The 24,953-nt window shown below is 42.6% G+C and overlaps 1 protein-coding gene across 5 annotated transcripts in view; it reads left to right on the forward strand.

The window, feature by feature from the left end:
• The window catches only part of HABP4 (hyaluronan binding protein 4), a 41,235-nt gene that overhangs the window by 13,695 nt on the left and 2,587 nt on the right, over positions 1-24,953 (forward strand). For 4 of the 5 annotated variants that reach the window (XM_047423008.1, XM_047423007.1, NM_014282.4 and 1 more), the window contains exons 3-7: positions 1,541-1,702; positions 1,914-1,982; positions 7,215-7,298; positions 20,666-20,837; positions 24,293-24,478. In XM_047423008.1, coding sequence (XP_047278964.1) covers positions 1,541-1,702; positions 1,914-1,982; positions 7,215-7,298; positions 20,666-20,837; positions 24,293-24,478 — 673 coding nt within the window. Of the gene's footprint in view, positions 1-1,540; positions 1,703-1,913; positions 1,983-7,214; positions 7,299-20,665; positions 20,864-24,292; positions 24,479-24,953 lie in introns of those variants that run through there. The other variant, XM_047423006.1, reaches the window with a different exon arrangement.

Below are 24,953 nucleotides of genomic sequence, written 5' to 3' on the forward strand. Positions count from 1 at the left end.
TCTTAATGTAACACTTTTAGCCATAAAAGTAGATTGTAACATACCTCTACTGCTGGTGTTTGAGCTACTAATGCCACTAGGTTTCTTGATGCCAGGACCTCCATTAAATAAGTAATTTCTTGTGATTTTAAATGTTTTTAAAAGCCTTTCCAAATTAGAAAACATTTATTAAACTATTGTTACAATGGTGAAAAAGAGCTTAGAGCTTAGTGAAGGAGAGACAAGTCCTCAGAAAGAGTGCTGGTGCCCAGCGACGGTGCAGGGAGGAGTGGGTGGGCAATCAGGTCCTGGGTCCAGGCTCTGATGTGGCAGAGGAAGAAGAGGGAGGAGTGGCTTGGGCTCTCGCTCGTATTGTGAGTTGGGAATCACAGGAGGAATAAGGGCTCCGCGTTGGGCATGTGTGTGCCTGACTTGGGGATGTCCGGGTGGAGATGTCTAGGAAGTAACTGGCTTCATGTCCTGCAATCAGATGAGAGACACAGGGCCAGTTAGCATTAGCATGGGGGGCCAGGCGGATGTGGCATGAGCCGAGATCCTGCCACTGCACTCCAGCCTGGGCAACAGAGCAAGGCTCTGCCTCAAAAAAAGAAATCTAAAGTAAGGTTCTAATAAAAGAAAAGTGAGAGTGCCCACAAGGATAAGGACAGATGGGTATCCGTATAGAGCACCAAGACAAGTGGTTAGGCACGAGAGGCAGACGGAGAACTTTTCCCTTCTGTGAATCTTGAATTGGCTGCCTCTGAGAAGTGGAATTGCGTGGCTGAGGAACAATGTGAGTTTTGTACCATGTTTGGGTATTATCTATTCCAAAAATAATTTTCTAAGGGCAGGCAGAAAAAGAGAAGCCAGAAAGTCAGGAAGATTGGTGGCCAGGAGTGTCATATGACACTGGGGTCAAATGACATGAAGACAAAAGTTGCTATTGGGCTTAAAGAGGTCTTCAGCTGCCCTTGGCCGTTTATGTGGAGTAATGAGGTGGAAGGCAGGTTAAGGTTTTCACAGTTCCAAATGTTACCGGCTGGTTGTGTGTTTAGGAGGGAGATTTGGAAAGGGGCATAATTTGAAGTTTAACCATTTTTCTTACACAAAACATTCCAAATTTAACTTAAAGATTTGGTATTAGAACAGGAATGAACGTTAGAATTTATTTATCAACATTCTCATTTTTTGAGTAAGGAAACTAGATCCAGAGAGAGAAAGGAATGCCCCATTCAGATTAGTACTATGCCTGTCTAGCACCTGCTTCTCCTGGACTGGCCCCACCACTTAGCCTACTCTCTGCTTCCGTTTCCTCATCTATAGGCAATAATTGTATATTAAAGATTTGTTTGTGAGAATCCAGTTACTATATGTAAAGTGCTCAGAACAATGCCAGGTATATAGTCTATAGTATGCGCTCACTAAAGGTTAACTATTAATTTGTGATTCAAGCCACCATTCTTTCCAGTATACTATAACCATGATTTTCTTTTAGAATTTTTTTCTGGAGAGACCTTAGACCTTTAATTTACCAGTTTTTATTATATCCACTCCTTCCTAGACCAGGTGATAGGTTTGATCGAGACAGACCGTTGAGAGGACGTGGAGGCCCGAGAGGGGGTATGCGCGGCAGAGGCAGAGGTGGCCCTGGGAACAGAGTTTTTGACGCTTTTGACCAGAGAGGAAAGCGAGAATTTGAAAGATATGGTGGGAATGACAAAATGTAAGTTTCTTTGTAAATGCTATTTTCACTTTAAGATGGTGTCAGCACGTGGTATGAATCTATTATGTGTTAATATTTAGTTAACTTTATAGTACTGTGCTGTTATTCTTGTGAGAAGCTGATCCTGGGACTTTTATGAACCACTCTTTCTGATTTGGAGATTGACTGGAGACTAGCTTCTGGTTTAAGGGACTATTCTTTCTTTCCGTAGAGCAGTCAGAACTGAAGACAACATGGGTGGATGTGGAGTTCGAACCTGGGGATCGGGTAAAGATACCAGGTACGGTGTAAGTGTGTGCCCTCTGAGAACCTGCAATTAAGTGGAAATCTCTGGATCTTTGCTTTTCTTGAAAATGATGTCTTCTGTATTGTGCTTTATACTTGTGTGCCCCTAAGTAGAGATTGATTTTAGGCTTTTGTTTCGTGAGATAAGTTTTTAAAACAGGTTTGCTATGTTGCAGTTAGATTTAAACTGCTTTTAAAATTCTATTACTTTAGCCAAACAAATTTGTGACAGATGACCATGTATTTGCTGATGCCTCAAACATATGGCACTGTACATTTGCACATGCCTCAAAATGCTTTTTGTTGGCTGCACACGGTGACTCACGCCTGTAATCCCAGTACTTTGGAAGCCAAGGTGGACGGATCACTTGAGGTCGGGAGTTTGAGACCAGCCTGTCCAACATGGTGAAACCCCGTTTCTACTAAAAATACAAAACCTAGCAGAGCATGGTGGCAGGCACCTGTAGTCCCAGCTACCCAGGAGGCTGAGGCAGAAGAATTGCTTGAACCTGGGAGGCAGAGGTTGCAGTGAGCCGAGATGGCACCACTGCTCTCCAGCCCGAGTGACAGAGCGAGACACAGCATCTCAAAAAAACAAAAAAAAGCTTTTTGTTTTGTTCATTATTTTTTAAAATGGTGACAAGATCTCACTATGTTGCCCACACTGGTCTTGAACTCCTGGGCTCAGGCAGTCCTCTTGCCTCAGCCTCCCAAAGTGCTAGGATTACAGGCATGAGCTACCACATCTGGCCTAAAATGCTTTTTAAATTCCTGGATATTCTATATGTTTTTACCTTTCAAAGTTCATGTGGATCCTTGACACATCTTCATTTCATAAAATCATTTGTAGATTGAAGCTTAGTGACAGGTTTCACCTGAGGCTCAAGTTGGACATTTCTCTGAGGCTTCATGGTGCCTTAGATCTGTGCCAATTCTTCTGCTAGTTAGAGTGGATACATGGTTCTGCTCTGTTTTATTTCACAGCTGGAGGGATGATGCCTTCCTGGTGTCTGCAGAAGAAGAGGTAGGGCATGCTGCAGGCAGTGCAGTGTGAGCAGTGCTACAGGGCAGGCTTCCCGCTAGTGCAGAGGCTTGAGGGGATCCAGGCTTCCACTTTTCTTCTTTTGAAGAATATAAGCTTTTTTTTTTTTTTTTTTGAGACGGAGTCTTGCTCTGTCACCCAGGCTGGAGTGCAATGGCGCGATCTCGGCTCACTGCAACCTCCGCTGCCCAGGTTCAAGTGATTCTCCTGCCTCAGCCTCCCAGGTAGGTGGGACTACAGGTGCACGCCACCATGCCTGGCTAATTTTTGTATTTTTAGTAAAGACGGGGTTTCACCACATTGGTCAGGCTGGTCTCGAACTCCTGACCTCAGGTAATCCACCTGCCTTGGCCTCCCAAAGTGCTGGGATTACAGGCATGAGCCACTGTGCCTGGCCAGAATATAAGCTTTTTACATGAACTTATTTTTCTTAAATTGTTGTCCTTAAAGACAAATGTACAAACTAATATCAAATGTAACAGCGTTAGATTTACTACCATTGCTCATTTGTGTTCTCCTTGAAAAGAAGAGAAACTTGTTGAATGTTTCTCTATCTGGGGTTCCATAGGATCTTGATGACAGATCTTTTAATTTTGTTTTATTTTACTTTGATAATATATTTTAAAAAGTAATATAGGCACTTTCTTTCCTTCTTTCTTTCTTTCTCTTTCTCTTTTTCTTTTTCTTTCTTTCTTTTTTTCCTTTTTTTTTTTTTTTTGAGACGGAGTCTCACTCTGTCACCCAGGCTGGAGTGCAGTGGTGCGATCTCAGCTCACTGCAACTTCCACCTCCCAGGTTCAAGCAATTCTCTTGCCTTAGCTTTCCGAATAGCTGGGATTACAGGTGCCCGCCACCACGCCTGGTTAATTTTTGTGTTTTTAGTAGAGATGGTGTTTCACCATGTTGGCCAGGCTGGTCTCGAACTCCTGACCTCAGGTGATCCACCTGCCTTGGCCTCCCAAAGCGCTGGGATTACAGGCGTGAGCTACCGTGCCCAGCTTGGGCACCTTCTTTCTTCATCATCTGATTTACCACCTTATCTAATACTACCACTTCATTTCAGTTTGCCTTTGAACTTAAAATCATTTTGGCTCTAAGTGGTTACTTATCCTAGAGGGCCAGCCTTGGCCTTGTAATGTTAAGAGGTGACCACTTGTGGCCCTGGCAGGCTGGCATGTCTCAGTGTTAAAATGACGTGTGCCCCATGGCACTCATTTTGGATTGGTTTGTGAGTTATAAAGTCAAAGCTCTTTTTTTTTTCCTCTCTCTGTCTCTAAGACAGGGTCTGACTCTGTTGCCCATGCTGGAGTATGGTGGCTCAATCTTGGCTTACCATAACCTTGAAACCCCGGGCTCAGTTGATCCTTCCACCTCAGCTTCCCGAGCAGCTAGGACTACAGGCGCATGCCACCACACCCACTACACCCAGCATTTTTTTTTTTTTTTTTCTGAGACAGAGTCTCACTCTGTTGCCCAGGCTGGAGTGCAGTGGCATGATCTCTGCTCACTGCAACCTCTCCCTCCCAGGTTCAAGCGATTCTCCTGCCTCAGCTTCCCCCGCAGCTGGGACTACAGGCGCATGCAACCACGCCCAGCTAATGTTTTTTGTATATTTAGTAGAGATGGGTTTTCACCCTGTTAGCCAGGATGGTCTCAATCTCCTGACCTCATGATCCGCTCACCTCAGCCTCCCAAAGTGCTGGGATTATAGACGTGAGCCACCGTGCCCGGCCTTTTTTGTATTTTTAGTAGAGATGCAGGTCTGCCATGTTTCCCAGGCTGGTGTCAAACTTCTGGGCTCAAGCAATTCACCTGCCTTGGCTCCCAAAGAGCTAAGACTGCAGGCGTGAGCCACCACACTCAGCTAGTCAAAGCTCTTAGGTGGTTATAATTTGTAATGGAAAGCTTTTCTTAGAATAAGACTAATTTCTTAATTAATAAATAGAGATAAATTTTATGTATGTATACATATACTTCATACATTTCTTTATAAAGTGAGTAAGAAATTTATTTCTTAGTAAATCGGCTTGAGGTCATGAAAATGATGTATGCGAAGGAGTTATGTGCTACTTTTGATTAGTGAGAAGAAAGTGGAGGTGAGCCTAACACAGTAAGTAATGTGTTTGTGGCTGGCAAAGCCCAAGTGCTTCCCAGTGTATTAAAGGTGTAAGGGCTTTGCTGTAGTCGAGTATTCCTATTTGAAGACGCTGACAGCAATAACTGGATTTAAGGACAAAGTGCCTTCAAACTGGTATGACTGAGCCATTTCAGTAATACTGCTTTTCTTCAACAGTTTGACAGCGGTAAAATAGAATTTTTTCTATTTATCTGTGCTGAAATAGAATTTTTCCATCTGCAATAATTTAAAAAGTGTATCAGATATTATTTTCTTGTTAAAATTGGAGTAGACACCCATGAACGCAGTTTTCAATAATGCTGCCTTTCAACTTTTATTGTGAAGAGCAAGACAGTTTTATTTGTTCTCAAAGCAAAATTTGATGAAAATCTGTTGTTGTCAGAGATTTGATTAAGTTTGAGGTCTGATTAAATTTGAACTAGGTAACAAAGCCTTGAAGTGTGTAACATCATTTTATGGAACATATGTGCACAAATAGGCATTTTCTGCACTAGTACAAATGAAGTCAAAATATAGACATGGGCCCTGGGGTTATATCTTTCTTCTGATAAATCCAACATTGGTGATTTACCTTTTTTTCTTTTTTTTTGAGACAGAGTCTCCAGGCTGGAGTGCAGTGGCATGATCTCGGCTCACTGCAACCTCCGCCTCCCGGGTTCAAGTGATTCTCCTGCCTCAGCCTCCCAAGTAGCTGGGACTACAGGCACCCGCCACCACGCCCACCTAATTTTTGTATTTTTGGTAGAGACGGTGTTTCACCATGTTGGCCAGGGTGGTCTCAATCTCCTGACCTCGTGATCCTTCTGCCTCGGCCTCCCAAAGTGCTGAGATTACAGGTGTGAGCCACCGCGCCCGGATGATTTACTTTCAACAAAATAGCAGAACCTGCCAAATTAATTGCTGCTAATTTTGAAACTTAATTGTCTTTCAGTTTTGATCATACAGTTCTATGATAGCTGTAGGCACAATATTTTATATTCATTTATAAAATAGGTCAACATAGGAGGACATCTATGATTTTTCTTTTCTGTAAAATCAGCTAATTGCTGAAGTTTAAGAAATACTCAGTTTTTTGTGGTTCATGCCTATAATCCTAGCACTTAGGAAGGCTGAGGCAGATGGATTATTTGAGCCCAGGAGTTCAAGACCAGCCTGAGGAACAAAGTGAAATCCCATCTCTACAAAAAATACAAAATATTAGCCGGGCATGGTGGTGTGCGCCTGTAGTCCCAGCTACTCCAGAGGCTGAGGTGGGAAGTTCTCTTGAGCCCGGGAGGTCGAGACTACAGTGAGCTGTGATGGCGCCACCGCACTCCAACCACCATGCCCAGCTAATTTTTGTATTTTTAGTAGAGACAGGGTTTCACCATGTTGGCCAGGCTGGTCTCAAACTCCTGGCCTCAAGTGATCCACCCTCCTTGGCCTCCCAAAATGCTAGGATCACAGGCGTGAGCCACCCTGCCGGCCTGGAACCTTCATTTTAAAAAACAAAAGTTAATTATTCAAGTTTTGTTTTAAAAAGAGTGAGTTTTTAAAGAATTGATTTCAGTAGGTTGGAGTTGAGAATTTAATACTTATTTAAATTGAAAAAGTCTTTTCTGTTATTGTAGTTCAATTTGTGGTTACTTTTAAAAAAAAACTTACTTTAAAGCCCTCAATAGGCCAGGCACAGCAGCTCGTAACTGTAACCCCAGCACTTTGGGAAGTCGAGGTGGGAGGTCAGGAGTTCGAAACCAGCCTGACCAACATGGTGAAACCCTGTCTCTACCAAAAATACAAAAAAAATTAGCTGGGCGTGGTGGTGGACGCCTGTAATCCCAGTTACTCAGGAGGCTGAGGGAGGAGAATCACTTAAACCTGGGAGGGAGGTTGCACTGATCCGAGATTGCACCACTGCACTCCAGCCTGGGCGACAGAGTGAGACTCAGTCTCAAAAAAAAAAAAAAAACCCAAAAAACCAAAAAAACAATGTTTTCTCCTTCTTAAACATACAAAGGCATTGGTATGAATGTATTTGTGTGACTAGAGAGGGTCTTGCTGTTTTTCAGTGATGTGGAGCCAACTGCACCGATGGAGGAACCCACAGTGGTGGAGGAGTCCCAGGGCACCCCGGAAGAGGAGTCTCCAGCCAAGTAGGGCATTTTGTTCATTCCCCATTGTGGTGTTGGTTCTCTTCTTAATGATTTCTTTTTTTTTTTTGAGATGGAACTTGCTTTGTCACCCAGGCTGGAGTGCAATGGCACAATCTTGGCTCACTGCAACCTCCACTTCCTGGGTTCAAGCGATTCTCCTGTCTCAGTCTCCTGAGTAGTTGGGACAATAGGCGTGCGCCACCACGCCCAGCTAATTTTTGCATTTTTAGTAGAGATGGCATTTCACCATGTCGGCCAGGCTGGTCTCGAACTCCTGACCTCAAGTGATCCATCCGCTTCAGCCTCCCAAAGTGCTGGGATTACAGGTGAGCCACCGCACCTGGCCTTTCTTGATGATTTCTAAGAGCTCTTCACAGACTGGGAATCTCAACCCCTTATCCTATCACAGAGGGCTGACCTTAATGTATGAATGACTGGTGATCAAACTAATTAATAATTAGTTCAGACAACCTAATGAATATCAATGATAATTAATGGGTGAAAGTTGGGCATTCTGTCCTCTGCTCACAAGCTCTTTTCCAGCAGCTTGTTAAATTCCTTGACTTGGAGTAGCCTGACTCTTGTATGGACCTCTAGTGTCTTGTCCCCTCTGTGCTCTCCCAGTCCTCCCTCCCTCTCTTTTCATTATGTAGCTTAGATACCGGCTCCGTCTCCAGCACCCTTCCAAGTTCTGTTTTTCTGGGGTTTTTTTTGAGACAGAGTTTCACTCTTATTGCCCAGGCTGGAGTGCAATGGCGCGATCTTGGCTCACTGCAACCTCCACCTCCCAGATTCAAGCAATTCTCCTCCTCAGCCTCCTGAGTAGCTGGGATTACAGGCATGTGCTACCATGCCCGGCTAATTTTGTATTTTTAGTAGAGACGGGGTTTCTCCATGTTGATCAGGCTGGTCTTGAACTCCCAACCTCAGGTGATCCGCCCATCTCAGCCTCCCAAAGTGCTGGGATTACAGGCATGAGCCACTGTGCCTGGCCTCCAAGTTCTTAAATACCCATGCGCCTTCAACTCTCTGGCCCTTTGGACCTGCTGCTGTAACTTGCTAGCAAAACCCCTCCTGGGTGACTCCACTATCTGCCTTCTCTCTGCCTGTTCCCACAAGCTGAGCACTACAAGTCACATCGTGGGCCTGGTTGGAACCCCAGTAAATTCCCGGTCACTGATATTCTGAAACCAGGCCTTGGCGATCCCCGGTTCTTGGGTTCACTCTTTCTCTCACCTTCTCTAATGACTGTTTTAATTTCTCCTCAAAACCCTGACACTGCCTCCCACTGTACCCTTCCGCCATCGTCCTCTTTCATTTTCTGGATGCAACATTTCCTTCTATATCACAGAGTAATTATGATCCATTAGGTGGCAACTTCATCATCCTCCCACTGCCAAAGATACAAGACTGCTACACCTGCACGCCTCCTGGGCTCCTTCCCTCGTGCTAACCATCGGGCTGCCATCCCCCCCGACCTCTTCACGCTTCAGATCTTTCCTACTGACTTCATGAAAACTTCATACTGTTAGTTAGCTCCTTCCTTTTTTGGTATATTCATCTCCTTCCTCCCAACCCTAGTCTTCCAGTCAGCATTTAAACATGCTCAGTCTCTCCTGCGTAAGTGTCCTCTGGACCCCACATTCTCCGTCAGCTGCCTCTTTCAGAGTTGCATGTGGCCTTCTTCACTTCCTCCCCTCCACTTATTCCTCCCTTTAGTCCAGGCCTGGCTTCTGTCCTCACTGTCCTTCTGAAACAGTCACCATGTCTCCAGATCTAATGGATGCTGCAGTCTGCGTCTTTCTTGACCTCTCAGAAGCATTTGACTTTATTGATTTCTTCGTAAACGTGCTCTCCTGTTGGTTTCTGTGATCACTCTGCTCTTCTTTTCCTTCTGCCTCTCAGCATCTCCTTTGCAGGCTCATCCTTGTCTTTCGGGTCTTTTAAAATGTTAAGTTCTTCAGGGCCCTGCCTTAGGCCTTCTCTTTCTGTAGAGTTTCTTTATAGGATCTTATGCACTTCTGTGACTTAAATTGTCGTTTACACACTAACTCTGGAATATGTATCTCTGGCTCTTAACTTCAATGTGGGCTCCAGGCCTGTGGCTCCATCTGCCTACTGGACACTTTCCCTGGGACATCCCAGATGCTCCTGTGCCCAGCCTGACCGAGACTGAGCTGACTCCTCCCCACACCTCTGGTCCTCACTCAGTGTTTCCATCCAACTGTACAAACCAGAAACCTACGAGTCATCCTTGGAACTTCTGTCTTCTTGACCCTCCTCTTTCCAAAACCCAGTCCTTCCCTCTGCTCTGGTGATTGTACCCCTAAATACCGAGCATCACCACTCACCAGCGTCGTCTAAGCCATTGTTATCTGGACCACCACTGGAGCCCCTCACAGGGCTCCCTGCATCCTCACCTACGCCAAGGTGGTGTTCACACCGCATTCTGATTGTCATGCCCCCACCCCTTGCTTAAGACCCTCCAATGTCTTCCTGTCCTTTTTCTGTCCCCTGTTCTGACCTGCAGAGTCCTGTGTGGTCTGGCCCCTGCAAAACCCTCAAGTTCAGACATTCCTGTGCCTTCTCTGGGTTCACCATGAGGCCTTTATTTCATGTTCTCAAATGTACTTTTATCCCACCCCTGCCCTCACACTTGCCATACAGCTTTCACAAGTGTTGTTTCTTTGTTTTCCCAAACCCCCTTTACTCTTCGCCTATCTGTCTCTTACTCATCCTTCAGCTGCCAAAAGGCAGGGTGTCTAGTGGTTAAGAGCACAGACATTGAACCAGTGTGATGAGTTGAAATCCCAGCTCTGCCACTTACTAGTTGGGCAAGTTATTTAATTTCTTTTTCAGTGGCTCAGTTTTCTTCATCTGTAAAATGGGAATAATAACGTACCTACATTATAGGGTTCTTGTAAAGATTTTGTGTGTGTGCGTGCGTTTATATCTGTGTCCTAGAGTGGTGCCTGGCATGTAGCTAGTGCTTTATCAGTATCTGCTCTTATTATTGTTACTTACTTCAAGAGTGAAAGGCCACAGTGATTGATGATTGTGAAAGCTGTATTCAAAACAATTGCAATGTATTATTCAAAACAAGAAATGTGTTTCATTAAATAAATAGGAGTAACAGTTAATATGAATATTTAGACAGTGAGCTAACTAAGGAACTAGATTAACAGTTTATATGAATGTTGAGAAAGTTAACTGGATACCTTCAGGAGAACATTATATCCTTTTTGAGCCAATAAACATTTATACAAATTCAGGTAATATAAGGCAGAATAATAGAGAGTAAATTATAGTATTGTTCTAATCTATAGAATTGATTGAGATACTCTAGTATTCATAATATTAGACAAAAATATTTAGTCACTGTGAAAGAAAATAAAGCTTGTTGACTGTCTGTCTGCAGTATCCCAGGAGAGCTAGCTGGAAAATCTTTCTCTCTCTTTTCTGCTGACCTGGGGGGAAAGTGAGCATCTATTTGGAATTGCAAGTGCAATGCAGGTATTGAGTGACCGTGCCGAGAGATTCTTTTTTCTGCACTGCCTTGTCAAATTTTAACATTATTACTAAAATTTCTAATAATACAATTATAATTTTTTGATACTCTAAAAGTTGGGCTGGTATCCGAGAAATACATTGAGTGATAGCGATGCTCTCTGGTGTCAGCCCTGTTTGAATGTTGATTTTGCACTCTGGCTTCTGGCATTTAGCCTGAATGTACATTCAGTGTACCTCTCAGTTCTAGAATGTCTTGATAGATGAATCTAATGTACTCTCACTTATGTTCAAACACACAACCCAAAGTGCACTTCCATTTTCCTCAAATAGGACATATTTTACTGATAATTATATGTGCAATGCCCTTCCATCCTTCCATCTTCTCCTTTCATTACAGAAGTATTAACTGTTCCTTGTTGCATAGTGTTCTAGTGTCCGACGATACCTGTGACGACTCTTTGTATTTTGTTTTAAGAATAACTCTAACATTGGCCAGGCGCGGTGGCTCACACCTGTAATCCCAGCACTTTGGGAGGCCGAGGTGGGTGGATCACAAGGTCAGGAGATCAAGACCATCTTGGCTAACACGGTGAAACCCAGTCTCTACTGAAAATACAAAAAATTAGCTGGGTATGGTAGCGGGCACCTGTAGTCCCAGCTATTCAGGAGGCTGAGGCAGGAGAATGGTGTGAACCCAGGAGGTGGAGCTTGCAGTGAGCCGAGATCGTGCCACTGCACTCCAGCCTGGGTGACAGAGCGAGACTCCGTCTCAACAACAACAACAACAAAAAAAAAAAAAAAAAGAAGAAAAAGAATAACATTTTTAGAGCATTTGCTGTATGCCAAGAACTGCTGTAAATGCTACCATGTCTTAATTCATTCAGTTCTTTGCCACTCCATGAAGGAGGAGCTACTGCTATTCTCACACTGGGACAGAGGTTCAATACCTGCCTAAGGTCACCTGGCTCATGTGCAGAGCCGGAATTTGAACCAGGCAGATGCATAGGCATTCATACTCCTCTAGTGAGTGGTAGGAATAGCAAAAAGTGCTGTTCAGAACACCTGCTGGTAACTCAGGAGAGGGCAAAAGATGTTGGCCCTGGAAGGTAAGAGCTGCCAGGATCTCTGAGCGTTTCCCTACTCAGGAATATGGAGCATCAACTCCCATCCTTCCTGAAAAATACTTTATTAAAAGAAACTGTGAGCAAACAGTAATACAAACTATCTGCAATAAATTATTTTTATTGTAATCGGTTTCCTAGTGTATTTGCTTAAACAATGAAGATTTTCTTATGTTTTAGGTTAAATTCATTTGTCCCAGTTAAATATCCGATTAGTAAAGCTTTATTTCTGGAACCTACTTTCTTTGATTCACTGCACTCTTTCATATATTCAGGTGAAAAGGTATTGCATGAATGGAAATGTGGACATTTGAATTGATGTTTTGTATCTTTCTTCTGCGCATATCATGACTGTTTTCCATCTAGGTATTTTTCTGTGCCCCCTTATTCCCTGAATCTCAGTGGAGCACAGAGGTTGAGTGTGGGCTTTGGAAACGCAATGACAGGATTGGAACTTGCCTCTTCTATTTATTTGCTCACTATGTGACCTCTCTCTGCCTCGATATTCTTATCTGTAAAATGGGATATTAATTATATCTAACTATTGATATCATGAAATAATATAAAGCATTTTGAACAGCATCTGGCACATGGTAAGCATACAGTGTTAGCTAGTCTCATCCATTTCTAAATAAAGGGAACTGTGGTTAAAGCAGTATGATTTCTATAATTTCACGTTTAGAAACAAATATATAACTATCAAATTTGTATATAGCATTATTCACATTACCATAGATTTGACCACCTTATATCCATAAGTCATTTTGATGGAAAATTCCCTCCCAAAAGTTTTTTATAACAAACCAAGAATTGTGAAGGTCTTTGAATTACTCAAAAATGGGGGTGTTAAAGCAATAGCAGTTATGAGGCTCTCAGTTGTTAGAAATATACTTGCATGAGTCCTTCCTAGAATCGAAGGATACATCTCTTCCTGTTGAATATTTAGTCATTGCTAAAACTGCCGGTAAAACTGTACTCAGAACCAATCAAATGGGAAATGGGGTATGCGTCACAGGATTGTCATAGTGTGTGTTTGCTAATAACTTTTAGTGGGTAGGGAATAAGGTTAAGGAGCCTGTCCTTGGTGATACTATGCTGCTTTCAACGTGGCTTGTTGAAACTGCAGCTGATAAGCAGGGCATTCGTGCCTCTGATATGGGGCATTTGTGCCTCTATTCTTGAATGAGGTGCATTCCAGTCAACAGCTTCAAGCTGATACTGCTGAAGGAGGCTGTAACTTGTAACTAATCTGAATTACACTATATGCTTTACTTTATGTGTCTATACACAGTTTCAAGCTTGCATTTCATATATACCTTGTCCTTTTTTGATCTAGTTCTTTGTTTAGATATGATGTCCTTTAAGCAAACAAACAAACTCTGTTAATAACAACTACTTCTGTGGCCTTAATGTAAAATCTATTCTTTCTAGAATTGAATTTTCTGGAATTTATAAACTTGTATTAGGTCGTCTTAAGTATGAAAGAATTACCAAATTTATAGCATTCAGTTCTGTTGATTTTTAAAATTCTGTCACAAGTAGGCTAAAGAAGATTTATGATTCCTTAATATTTCTTTATTTTTAGCTGTGTATTAAAATTTTATATTATGGAAAATTATACAAATTAAGTAGTATAAAGAACTTGTAAGTAAGTTGTTCAGCTTAAAGCTGTTACCAAATCACGGCCACTCCTGTTTCATGCATATTTCTACCAACTTCTGCCTCCCCCAGGGTATCATATACCACTCATAAATGTTTCACAGTGTTATACCTGCTACTCTTTTTTAATAACATAACTGGAATACCATTACTCCATTAAATTTTTTTTAATATACTTGATATCATTAATTCCAAGACACTTCTTCAGTTTCCCTGATTGTCTTCAAAACTTTTTAAAAAGATAATTTATTTGTTTGAAATAATATTGAAATATACATGTCAATTGGTTAGTCTCATGTCTGTTTTTAAAACAGCTTTGAGATATAATTCACATCCAATAAATGGCACATATTTAGCATGTACAGTTTTACAAGCTTTGATATATTTGTACACTTGTGAAACTATCACCATGAGCAAAATCATGAGCATAGCCATCGCCCCACAAAGTTTCCTGGCGTTCCTTTGTAGGCCCTCTCTCTTGCCCCATTTCCCCCCGGCAGCCAATGATCTACTTTCTGTCACTACAGATTAGTTTGCAGTTGCTATAATTTTATATGAATGGAATCATGCAGCTTGTATTCTTCTTTGGTCTGTGTTCTTTCTCCGAGCATACTTACTGTGTGATTTGTATCTGTTCATTCCTTTTCATTGCAGAGTAGTAGTCTGTTATACAGGTGGACCACCATTTATCTGTTTACCTGGTGGTGATCACTGGGTGGTTTCCAGTTTTTGCTATAAAGCTGCTATGAACATTTTTTTTTTCTTTGAGACAGAGTCTCACTCTGTCACCCAGGCTGGCGTGCAGTGGTGCAATCTCGGCTCACTGCAACCTCCGCCTCCCAGGTTCAAGCGATTCTCTTGCCTCAGCCTCCCGAGTAGCTGGGATTACAGGCGCCCGCCACTACACCCAGCTAATTTTTGTATTTTTAGTAGAGACGGGGTTTCACCATGTTGGCCAGGCTGGTCTCGAACTCCTGACCTTGTGATTCGCCCTCCTCGGCCTCCCAAAGTGCTGGGATTACAGGCGTGAGCCACCGTGCCCGTCCTGAACATTTTAATATACAAGTGTTTATATGGATATACACTTTCATTTCTCCTGGGTAAATACCTAGGAGTGGAATGGTTGGACCAAATGGTATGCGTATATTTCACTTTGTAAGAAGCTGCTGAACTCTTTTCCAACATCCTTGCTAGAACTTGCTATGGTCAGTTTTTATAACTTTCAGTCATTTTAATAGGTACATATCTCATTATGGGTTTTTGTTGTCATCGTTTTTTTTTTTTTCTTTTTTTAGAGACAAGATCTTGCTCTGTCACCCAGGCTAGAGTACAGTGGTGTGATCATAGCTTACTGTAACTTCGAACTCCTGGTCTCAAATGATCCTCCCACCTCAGCCTCCTGATGTCCAGCTTATTTTTTACTTTTTGTAGAGATGGGGTCTCGTTTTGGTACCCAGGCTGGTCTCCAACTCTTGGCCTCAAGTGCTGCCTCGGCCTCCTGGAGTGCTGAAATTACAGATGTGGGCCACCGTGTCTAGCTTCATTGTGGTTTTAATTTGCATTTCCCTAATGACTAATAATGTTGAGCATTTTTTGTGTGGTATTTCCCATCTGTATTCTTTAGTAAAGCTGCTTTGATAAAGAACCACTGCCACCAGGGACTTGATTGTTTCCAGGGCATTTGGGTGGACAGAGATGGGAAATACACACATACACATTATAAGATAAAATATGAGTTCATTCAATATTTCCAATTCGAAGTTAAGATATGGGATTTTTACCTAGACTGCTTGTTTCTCCTTTTCTTACATACTGAAAATTCTAGTTCTGAGTAACATTGTGCTTTTAATCATTTGTTGCACATAAAACAGTCACAGCATTACCAACATTACCTTCAGTAACACAGTTACTGAAAAGTTATGTCGAGGAGGGAGATGAGTAATCAAATTTGTATTTCAAAATCATTTGAAATAGTTCTCTTGATGGTTATATCACCAGTTTCATAAACATTTAGGTTACTTTGATTCATTTTACTTTCAAATTTTAGAGATTGAATTTTAATTTAAATCTGTTTTATAATTATGTAAAATATTTACATGTTTCCAAAGTTCAGTCTGAAAAACATGATTTTTTTTTTTTCTTTTTGAGATGGAGTTTCACTCTTGCCGAGCCTGGAGTGCAGTGATGCAATCTCAGTTCACTGCAACCTCCGCCTCCCGGGTTCAAAGCGATTCTCCTGCCTCAGCCTCCCGAGTAGCTGGGATTACAGGTGCCTGCCACCATGCCCAGCTAATTTTTGTATTTTTAGGAGAGACGGGATTTCACCATGTTGGCCAGGCCTGTGTCGATCTCCTGACCTCAGGTGATCAACTGGCCTTGGCCTCCCAAAGTGCTGGGTTTACAGACAGGAGCCACCGTGCCCAGCCAAAACATGGTATTTTCAAATAGCTTTTATCCCTATTGTTTTCCTGGCTTATATTCCAATTTAAAAAAAATGCTGGCCGGGTGCGGTGGCTCATGCCTGTAATCCCAGCACTGTGGGAGGCCAAAGTGGGTGGATTGCTTGAGCCTAGGAGTTTGAGACCAGCCTAGGCAACAAGTGAGACCCTCCCCCACCCAGTCTCTACAAAAAATACAAAAATTAGCTGGGTATGGTGGTGCATGCCTGTAGTCCCAGCTACTCTGGAGGCTGAAGTGAGAGGATCCCTTGAGCCCAGGAGGTGGAGGTTGCAGTGAGCAGAGATCATACCACCGCACTCCAGCCTGGGTGACAGAGTGAGACCCTGTCTCAAAACAAAACAAAACAAAAAAACTATCTATCTCTATCGGTGCTATGCATATATATTTGTGTGGCTCTCCAAGGTACTGTACACCCCTCCTTGCTTTTTTCTCATTCACTCTGGAAGGTGCTCCATAGCAGTATATACAGATAGTCCTCATTCCTTTTTTAGCTGCTATACTATAGTTTTTTCACCAAGTTCTTTTCTAGATAGGTTTGGGTTATTTCCATTAATTTGCTGTTCCAATGTCTTAGTATCTTTTAATATTTTTGCCAATATATATTTGAGATCTATATTTTGATATTGGTATTTTTCCAGCATTTTATTGTGAAAATTTCAAAACACAGCAAAGTTTAAAGAATTTTATAGCGAACATCTATACTTACCACTACCTAAATGCTACCATTTATATCTTATATATTCATTTTACATAAGTATTCATTAGTCCATGTTTTTTGACACATTTCATAATAAATTGTAGACATCTGTACACTTCCCCCTAAATAGTTCAACATGCATATCACTAAATAGAATTAATATTTGTTTACAATTTTTTCTTCTGATATAAAATGTATATACTATGAAATGTATAAATCTTAAGTGTACATTCACTGTTTTGACAAATGCATGTACTTGTGGAATCCAAACTCCTGTCGAATACAGAACATTACCAATCACGCCAGAAAGTTCTTTCATATTCCTTCATGTTATCTTTGCTTTGATGTTTTTTCTACCATCAGCTTGGTATTGTAGAGTCACTGCAAATTTGTCTATTTTGGATGCTCTGTGGTTAGGTTTCTCTACTGATTTTGCTTATATTTTTCATAACATTGATCTGTGTATTTCTATAATAGAACCTTAAATTACATCAGCTCTTCAGTGAAGATACAGATTTGATTCCCCACTCCCCACCTACTGTTTTGTTTTGTTTTGTTTTGGAGAAAGAGTCTTGTTCTGTCGCCCAGGCTGGAGTGCAGTGGTGCCATCTTGGCTCACTGCAACCTCCGCCTCCCGGGTTCAAGCAATTCTCCTGCTTCAGCCTCCCGAGTAGCTGGGATTACAGGGATTACAGGCGTGTGCCACCACACCCAGCTAATTTTTGTATTTTTAGTAGAGACGGGGTTTCACCATGTTGGTCAGGCTGGTCTTGAACACCTGACCTCATGATCCACCTGCCTCGGCCTCCCAAAGTGCTGGGATTATAGGTGTGAGCCACCGCGCCCGGCCTGTTTTTTCCCCTTAAACACTTTTGAGATATAATTCTCGTACTATAGCACTCAAATCTCTAAGTATATAGGCCAGGTGTGGTGGTTCAGATCTGTAATCCCAACACTTTGGGAGGCAGAGGCAGGAGGATAGCTTGAGGCCAGGAGTTCAAGACCAGCATGGGCTACATGGAGAGACCCCGTCTCTACAAAATGGTTGTAAAAATTAGCTGGGCCTGATGGCTCGTACCTGTAGTCCCAGCTACTCTCAGGAAGCTGAGGTGGGAGGATCCTTGGGCTCAGGAGGTTGAAGGTATGGTGAGCCATCATCATGCCACTGTACTCCAGCCTGGCCAACAGAGTGAAACCCAGCCTGTATCAAACAAATAAATGAGTAAACGACTGAATGCATGGATGGATGGTTTGGGGTATGTTACATTATTAATTTTTTAAAATTGCAGTAAAAATAACATAAAAATTGCCATTTTTACCATTTTAATATATATAATTTAATGGCATCAGTAACATTCATATTGTGTGTAACCATCACCACCATCCATCTCTAGAACTTTTTTTTTTTTTTTGAGATGGAATCTCACTCTGTTGTCCAGGCTGGAGTGCAGTGGTGCGATCTCGGCTCACTGCAACCTCCACCTCCCGGGTTCAAGCGATTCTCCTGCCTCAGCCTCCTGAGTAGCTGGGACTACAGGCACATTCCACTACACCCGGCTAATTTTTCTGGTATTTTTTAGTAGAGACGGGGTTTCACCGTATTGGCCAGGCTGGTCTCGAACTCCTGACCTCATGATCCGCCTGCCTCAGCCTCCCAAAGTGCTAGGATTACAGGCTTGAGCCACTGTGCCTGGCCTTGTAGAACTTTTTCATCACAAACAGAAACTCTATATCCATTTAACACTAACTCCCCATTTCTCCTCAGCATGTAGTAATCTCTATTTTACTCGTGTTTATGAATTTGCCTATTCTAGGTGCCTCATCTAAGTGGAATCGTTCAATGTTCCTTTTGCACCTGGCTTATTTTAACTATTAGCATCAAGTTTTCAGCTTCATTCATGTTGTAGCATGTGCCAGTCTTCATTTCTGTTTTTCTTTTTTTGTGTGTATTTTTGTGATGATTTTCAAATCTACGATTTTAATCCTTTTAAAGTGTACAATTCAGTGGCATTTAGTACATTCAGAGTGTTATGCAACCATCACCATGATCTGGCTCCAGAAGGTTGTTATCATCCCAAAAGGAAACCCCATGCCCATTCAGCAGTCACTCCCTATCCTCCCTCCCTGCAGCCCTGGCCACCACTGACCTGCCTCCTGTCTGTGTGAATCTGGCTCCTCTGAATATTTCATGTAAATGGAATCATACACAGAAGTCTTTTCTGCCTGGTTTATTTCACTTGCATCATTTTTTCAAGGTTTGTTCATGTCGTAATGTGTATTAATACTTTGTTTCTTTTTATTGCCAGATAATATTCCAAAAAATGTGCCATATTTGGTTTATCCACTCATTAGTTAATAGACATTTAGGTTGTGTCCACTTTTTGGCTATTATGAATAGCACTGCAGTGAACACTTGGGTTTAAGTTTTCATGTGGATGTGTGTTTTCATTTCTCTTGGGTATAAACCCAGGAGTGAAATTTCCGGGTCAGAGGCTAACTCAGCTTAGATTTTTGAGGAACCGCCAGACTGCTTTCCAAAGAGGCTACACCATTTCACATTCCCACTGGCAGTGTATGTGGGTTCCAGTTTCTCCACATCCTCCCCAACGCTTGTCAAATGTCGTTTTGGTTCTAACCATCCCACTGGGTGTGGACTGGTGCAGCTCTGTGGTTTTGACTTGTCTTTCTCTAATAGCTAATGATGTGCAACATCTTACTGCCTATTTGTATATCTTCTCTGGAAAAATGTTCACTCAGATCCTTGCCTTTTTTGGGGGGAGGGTGGTCATTTGTCTCAACTAAAGAGGACTTGTATCTAGAATTCATAAAGCATTCTTTTTTTTTTTTTTAAAGAGACAGTGTCTCATTCTGTTGCCCAAGGTGGAACACAGTGGCCATTCACACGTGTGATCATAGCTCACTGCAGCCTCAGATGCCTGGCCTCAAGCGATCCTCCCACCTCAGCCCCCTGAGTAGCTAGGACTATCGGCATGAGCCACCACGCTTGGCTGTTCATAAAGAATTCTTTATGTATTCTAGATACAAGTCCCTTGTGAGATATATTATTTGTAAATATTTTATCCCATTTTGTGGACTGTCTTTTTACTTTCTTGATGGTGTCCTTTGTAGTATAAAAGTATCTGATGATGTTCAATGTATGTACTTTTGTTGCTTGTTTTTTTGGTGTCATGTGGAAGAAACCATTGCCCAGTCCAGGGTTAAGAAAGTTTCTGCCTAGGTTTTCTGCTAAGAGTTTTATATTTTAGCTCTTGTATTTATGGTGTGAGGTAGGTCTAACTTCATTCTTTCTTTTGGTGTGTGTGGATATCCAGTTGCCCAAGCACCGTTTGTTGAAAATACTTTTCATTCTCCATTGAATTGTCTTTGGCACCACGGTTGGAAAAAAAAAATCAGTTGACCGTAAATGTGAGGGTTTATTTCTGGACTCTGAATTCTTTGCTCTCAATCTATATTTCTGTCTTTTGTTTTCTTTTTAAAACTCATTAAAGAGGATATTTGCAAAAGTATGCATTCATGAGCCACTGCTTTAAAACTTGTTTATGGTTTCCTGTATTTTATTTCAACCCATTGTCCATAATTACCTCATTTTGTCTGTCATGCTGTCTGGAAGGGAGTGCCAGTGGTGAAGTGTGATGTTAATGTCATCAGGATGGTGATGTTCCCATTTTTCAAAGATTGATTTGAACACAGATAGGAAGTATCTTCTGTTGGCAGTGATGACATAAAATGTTGAAAATGAAATATGGAAGCTTGTGAGTCAAAGATTTCCTTACCTTATTTGCATTTGAAATGCAGTACCACAAAAATATGTTGAATTAATGGTTATAACTTTTTCTTTATAAAGTAGACATTTTAGTACCATCAAAAAGTATTCTTTATGATTATATATCTCTTTATAGAGTTCCTGAGTTGGAGGTAGAAGAAGAAACCCAAGTTCAAGAGATGACTTTAGATGAGTGGAAAAATCTTCAAGAACAGACCAGACCAAAGCCTGAGTTTAACATCCGGAAACCAGAATCCACTGTTCCTTCCAAAGCCGTGGTGATTCACAAGTCAAAATACAGAGATGATGTAAGCATTGCATTTCGTATGTAGAGGTAATCTTTACTTTTACCTTACTGGAAGTGAAATGTACCTTTCCACTTCTGTCTTGAAAATGGAACATTAGTAGTTGGCAGTCTTTGTTTCTAATCAGAGATGATGCATGCCTAATTTTACTGTATTGTTCATTAAGAAAAGGAATTGAAACTTGAGGTATTGACAGATGCACAGAGCAGTTAGAGTGACAGTGCATCTTCTGCTCACCCTGGGACTATGCGGGTACTGTACACATACTGTGTATTAACTGTATTTCATTTTTCTCAAGGGAGAGTTACAGATTGTGTCTTGTACAATTCAGAGTTAATCAAAGGAGAACTACACTCTGTGTCCCCTGAGTAGGTTACTTTCAACTCTGTTTCTTGATAAGAGCATTTCACTGAGTAGTTGATGACTTTTTTTTTTTTTTGAGATGGAGTTTCGCTCTTGTTGCCCAGGCTGGAGTGCAGTGGCGCGATCTTGGCTCACCGCAACCTCCGCCTCCCGGGTTCAAGCGATTCTCGTGCCTCAGCCTCCCAAGTAGCTGGGATTACAGGCATGCGCCACCACCCCGGCTAATTTTGTATTTTTAGTAGAGACGGGGCTTTTCCATGTTGGTCAGGCTGGTCTTGAACTCCCGACCTCAGGTGATCCACCAGCCTCAGCCTTCTAAAGTGCTGGGATTACAGGCGTGAGCCACTGCACCTGGCCGAGTAGTTGATGACTTTTTAAACTGTGGTTGAGGTTCCATGCACTTCTGACGCCTTTCCCATGTTGGTTCAGCAGCTTTGCGCCCCCTGCCTAACTGCAGACGTGGCGGGAGATGAGTCCCCGAACGCTTGGCTGCTCGGTCAGGCACTGCCACAGCGGCCAGCGTGCTGCAGGGGTTGCTCAGGGAGCTCCTCCGTGTTGTGAGGCCTTATTGCTCACGGCTTACGTCCAGCTCTTCTCAGAAGCTTCAGTTTTGCAGGGAGAGGTTTCGGGGAAACATCTAGCAGCATATGTTGATAGGGATGCCATGGGGTCATCAAGTCCCCGACTTGTTACTGAACTTAAGGCTAGGTCCACTGAAGCATTCCCATTATGGGATTTAGAATCTGTATCATTCCATCTACAGCTTGATACCAGTCACTATTTCGAGGTGGGAGTGAGCAGGTAGCAGGTTCTTCCTCTCTGTGGGGTATTAGTTATTGATTTTCATGTGGAATCTCAGGAATGTTATGCTATTGTAGAGTTGTCATTTACACTTTGGTTAGTTTCATTTTCTGAGTGAGTACTTTGATTAGGTGTCATTTAAGATACAGGGTTCTTGGGAGGCCAAGGCAGGTGGATCACCTGAGGTCAGGAGTTCGAGACCAGCCTAGCCAACATAGTGAAACCCTGTCTCTACTAAAAATACAAAAACTAGCCGGGCGGTTGGCGGGTGCCTGTAGTCCCAGCTACTCGGGAGGCTGAGGCAGGAGAATCGCTTGAACCCGGGAAGCAGAGGTTGCAGCAAGCCGAGATCACGCCATTGCACTCCAGCCTGGGCAACAAAGTGAGACTTCGTCTCCAAACAAAACAAAAAAAAAGATACAGGATTCTCTCCCATCCTCTTGTTTTGGTCAGTCCAAGCTGTAGGAGGCCTTACTGAGTTTTGAGCTGTTCCACAAGAAATGGCTTTTTGTAGACATAGGCGGCCGGAGCTTTATTTCCCTGGCAATCTCTGGGAGGTGTTTTCTAACTCCATTAGCAAGCTGGGTTGGTTCTTAACCTGTCCACTTCCTTTGTTCTTTTTTGTTCTAGGCATTGTAAATAAAAATTTCTCTAAAACAAATGTGCTGTCAGGATTGAAATATGCAGCTGACATGTTAGGTAAAAATAGAAGCTGCTCTTTCTTAATCCACACCAGATTTGTCCTCCCGGGCTCCAGAGGTCTCCCAGAATATTTGAAGCAAGTGGGTTAGCTGAGTCATCAAGCCTGGTCTCAGTGAAGCACACATCTTGGTCCTTGTTAATCTTGGAGGATTGAAGATTTTAGCTAGGAATTGTTCTTAAAGCAACACAAGCCAGATCTTGGGTTCATCAGTTTACTTTGTTCTGGACACCTGAAGAGGCAGAAGCACTAGAATACCTAGCAAAGTTCAGACCTAGTAACAACCTCGCGTAAGGCACTGGGCGGTGAAAGCACTTGGGCCAGGGCCAGCTGGAGCTGCAAGTGGAGCCCAAGCCTTAGACTGTGTCCACTCCCTGCTCCACTGCCCCGAGGCCCTTCCTGCCCCTTCCTGCAGTGGGAGGCGACTCAGAGCAGGGACCCCAGGGAGACCTTACCAGCGCTTCCCTGCTGAGTGCCAAACAAGGCAAGGGTTGAGTATTTTGCCTGTTACTATTTTTTGTGTGTATCTTTTTACAGAATGCCAGTGCTCCTGGACTGTTTTTCTTCACCTTTTTAGCATTAAGCATCCAACTACCTAAAGCCTCTGCTTTATTTTAACCTGAGACCTCAAAGGGGACACAAATGTTAAACATGAAGGCTGTCATGAGCATATGGCCTAAAGGTGTTGATATGCTCGTGGAAACTTTGCTCCATTTCCTGGTTGTAGGAATGTTTAATGTTGTAGCACTTTGGAGATTCTCATCTGAAATCACTGACATATCTTCCTTTCTGTAGGTTTTTACTTTACTTAAAGTGGGGTTTTTGTGTGTGTGTGTGTGTGATACCCATTATTATGAGTTGAAGCCAAATCAAATTTGGATCAGATTTAATTAATTTATTTAATATAGCTGTCACAAGAGATAGAATTTTAATGAAAGCAGTTCTTAAAAAGCAGCTTGACTTCTTTGTGCAGTGTTGGTAGAACACTCAGGTAACCATACTCTTGTTTTTATAAAGTTTCTCTATATTTTGAGTCAGAATTGTTTATTATAAATCATGTGATTTTTAGCACATGGTATTATAATCAGCACCCATGCTGAAAGGAATTTCTCTGTTAAGTTCTGTTCTGGGAAGGGGATATTTCCTTATTTATCAAAGCATTTGTGAACAGATAAGACAGAAAATAAGCAGAAATGAAAACTTTTTTATCTCAGCAAAATACACTTAGATATAAAACATGTATATTGTTTGCTATTATTAGTCATGCCAAATCTTATATCTTAACCTGCTCAGCTGATAGAAATTTGGTCCCACTTGAAATCATAATAAGTTCAAAGATGTTTGGATTAAGATTGTAATTGCAAGAATGTGGGACTCTAGAACATACAGAACTCACTGTCTTAGAATCAGAACAGCAGTGCTGTCTTCCTTTGTCCAGCTCTGCAGCCCAGGGCCAGAGACAAATCCAGAGAATGGCTCTGACTAGCCCCTGATGGTGTTTTAGCTCCTGTGTAGCACACTGCAGCCACTAAGCCAGATGAGTGTGGGGATGGCTGTGGACTTGTGCGTGTTTGATGCTGTAATTGTGTTTCAGATGGTAAAAGATGACTATGAGGACGATTCCCATGTTTTCCGGAAACCCGCCAATGACATCACATCCCAGCTGGAGATTAATTTTGGTAACCTCCCTCGTCCTGGGCGTGGAGCCAGAGGAGGCACCCGGGGAGGCCGGGGAAGGATCAGGAGGGCAGAGAACTATGGACCCAGAGCAGAAGTGGTGGTAGGTGTCTGTATTGACGGTTTGGCGAAAGAAGTTAATAAGGACAGTGCCCTGGGCCCAGGATGGTCTAATTTCAGAGGGTCATGAGTTTCTGCAGTCACTTCTTTCTGTAGCTAGTGTGGGACTGATGTTGGGGCATTTGGACGGTGTTGTAGCATCATGGACATCTTGCCTAGAGACCGTTCTGTAGCCCTGGCTTCCAGGGTCTGCTGTGAAGGCACTCCCGGGATCAGAGAGAAACTCACTGTCACCCGCATTAGACAAGATCCCCAGGCTTGGGATTGAACTGGAGCACCTGACGTTTTGCTTACTGTGGCCTGATTGTGTGCCTTGGGCTCAGGTGATGCTGTCAGAGTGGACAGAATCCTCCCTAAGATCTCAAGCCCTTTGTGAGGGGACCTTCCTCAACCCCTCCCCGGCTCACCTGCCTCACACCGTCCTCAGCCAAGGCTGCCTGATTCTAGCTCTCAACACA

Source organism: Homo sapiens, chromosome 9 (genome assembly GCF_000001405.40).
Source record: "Homo sapiens chromosome 9, GRCh38.p14 Primary Assembly".
Lineage (NCBI taxonomy): Eukaryota > Metazoa > Chordata > Mammalia > Primates > Hominidae > Homo > Homo sapiens.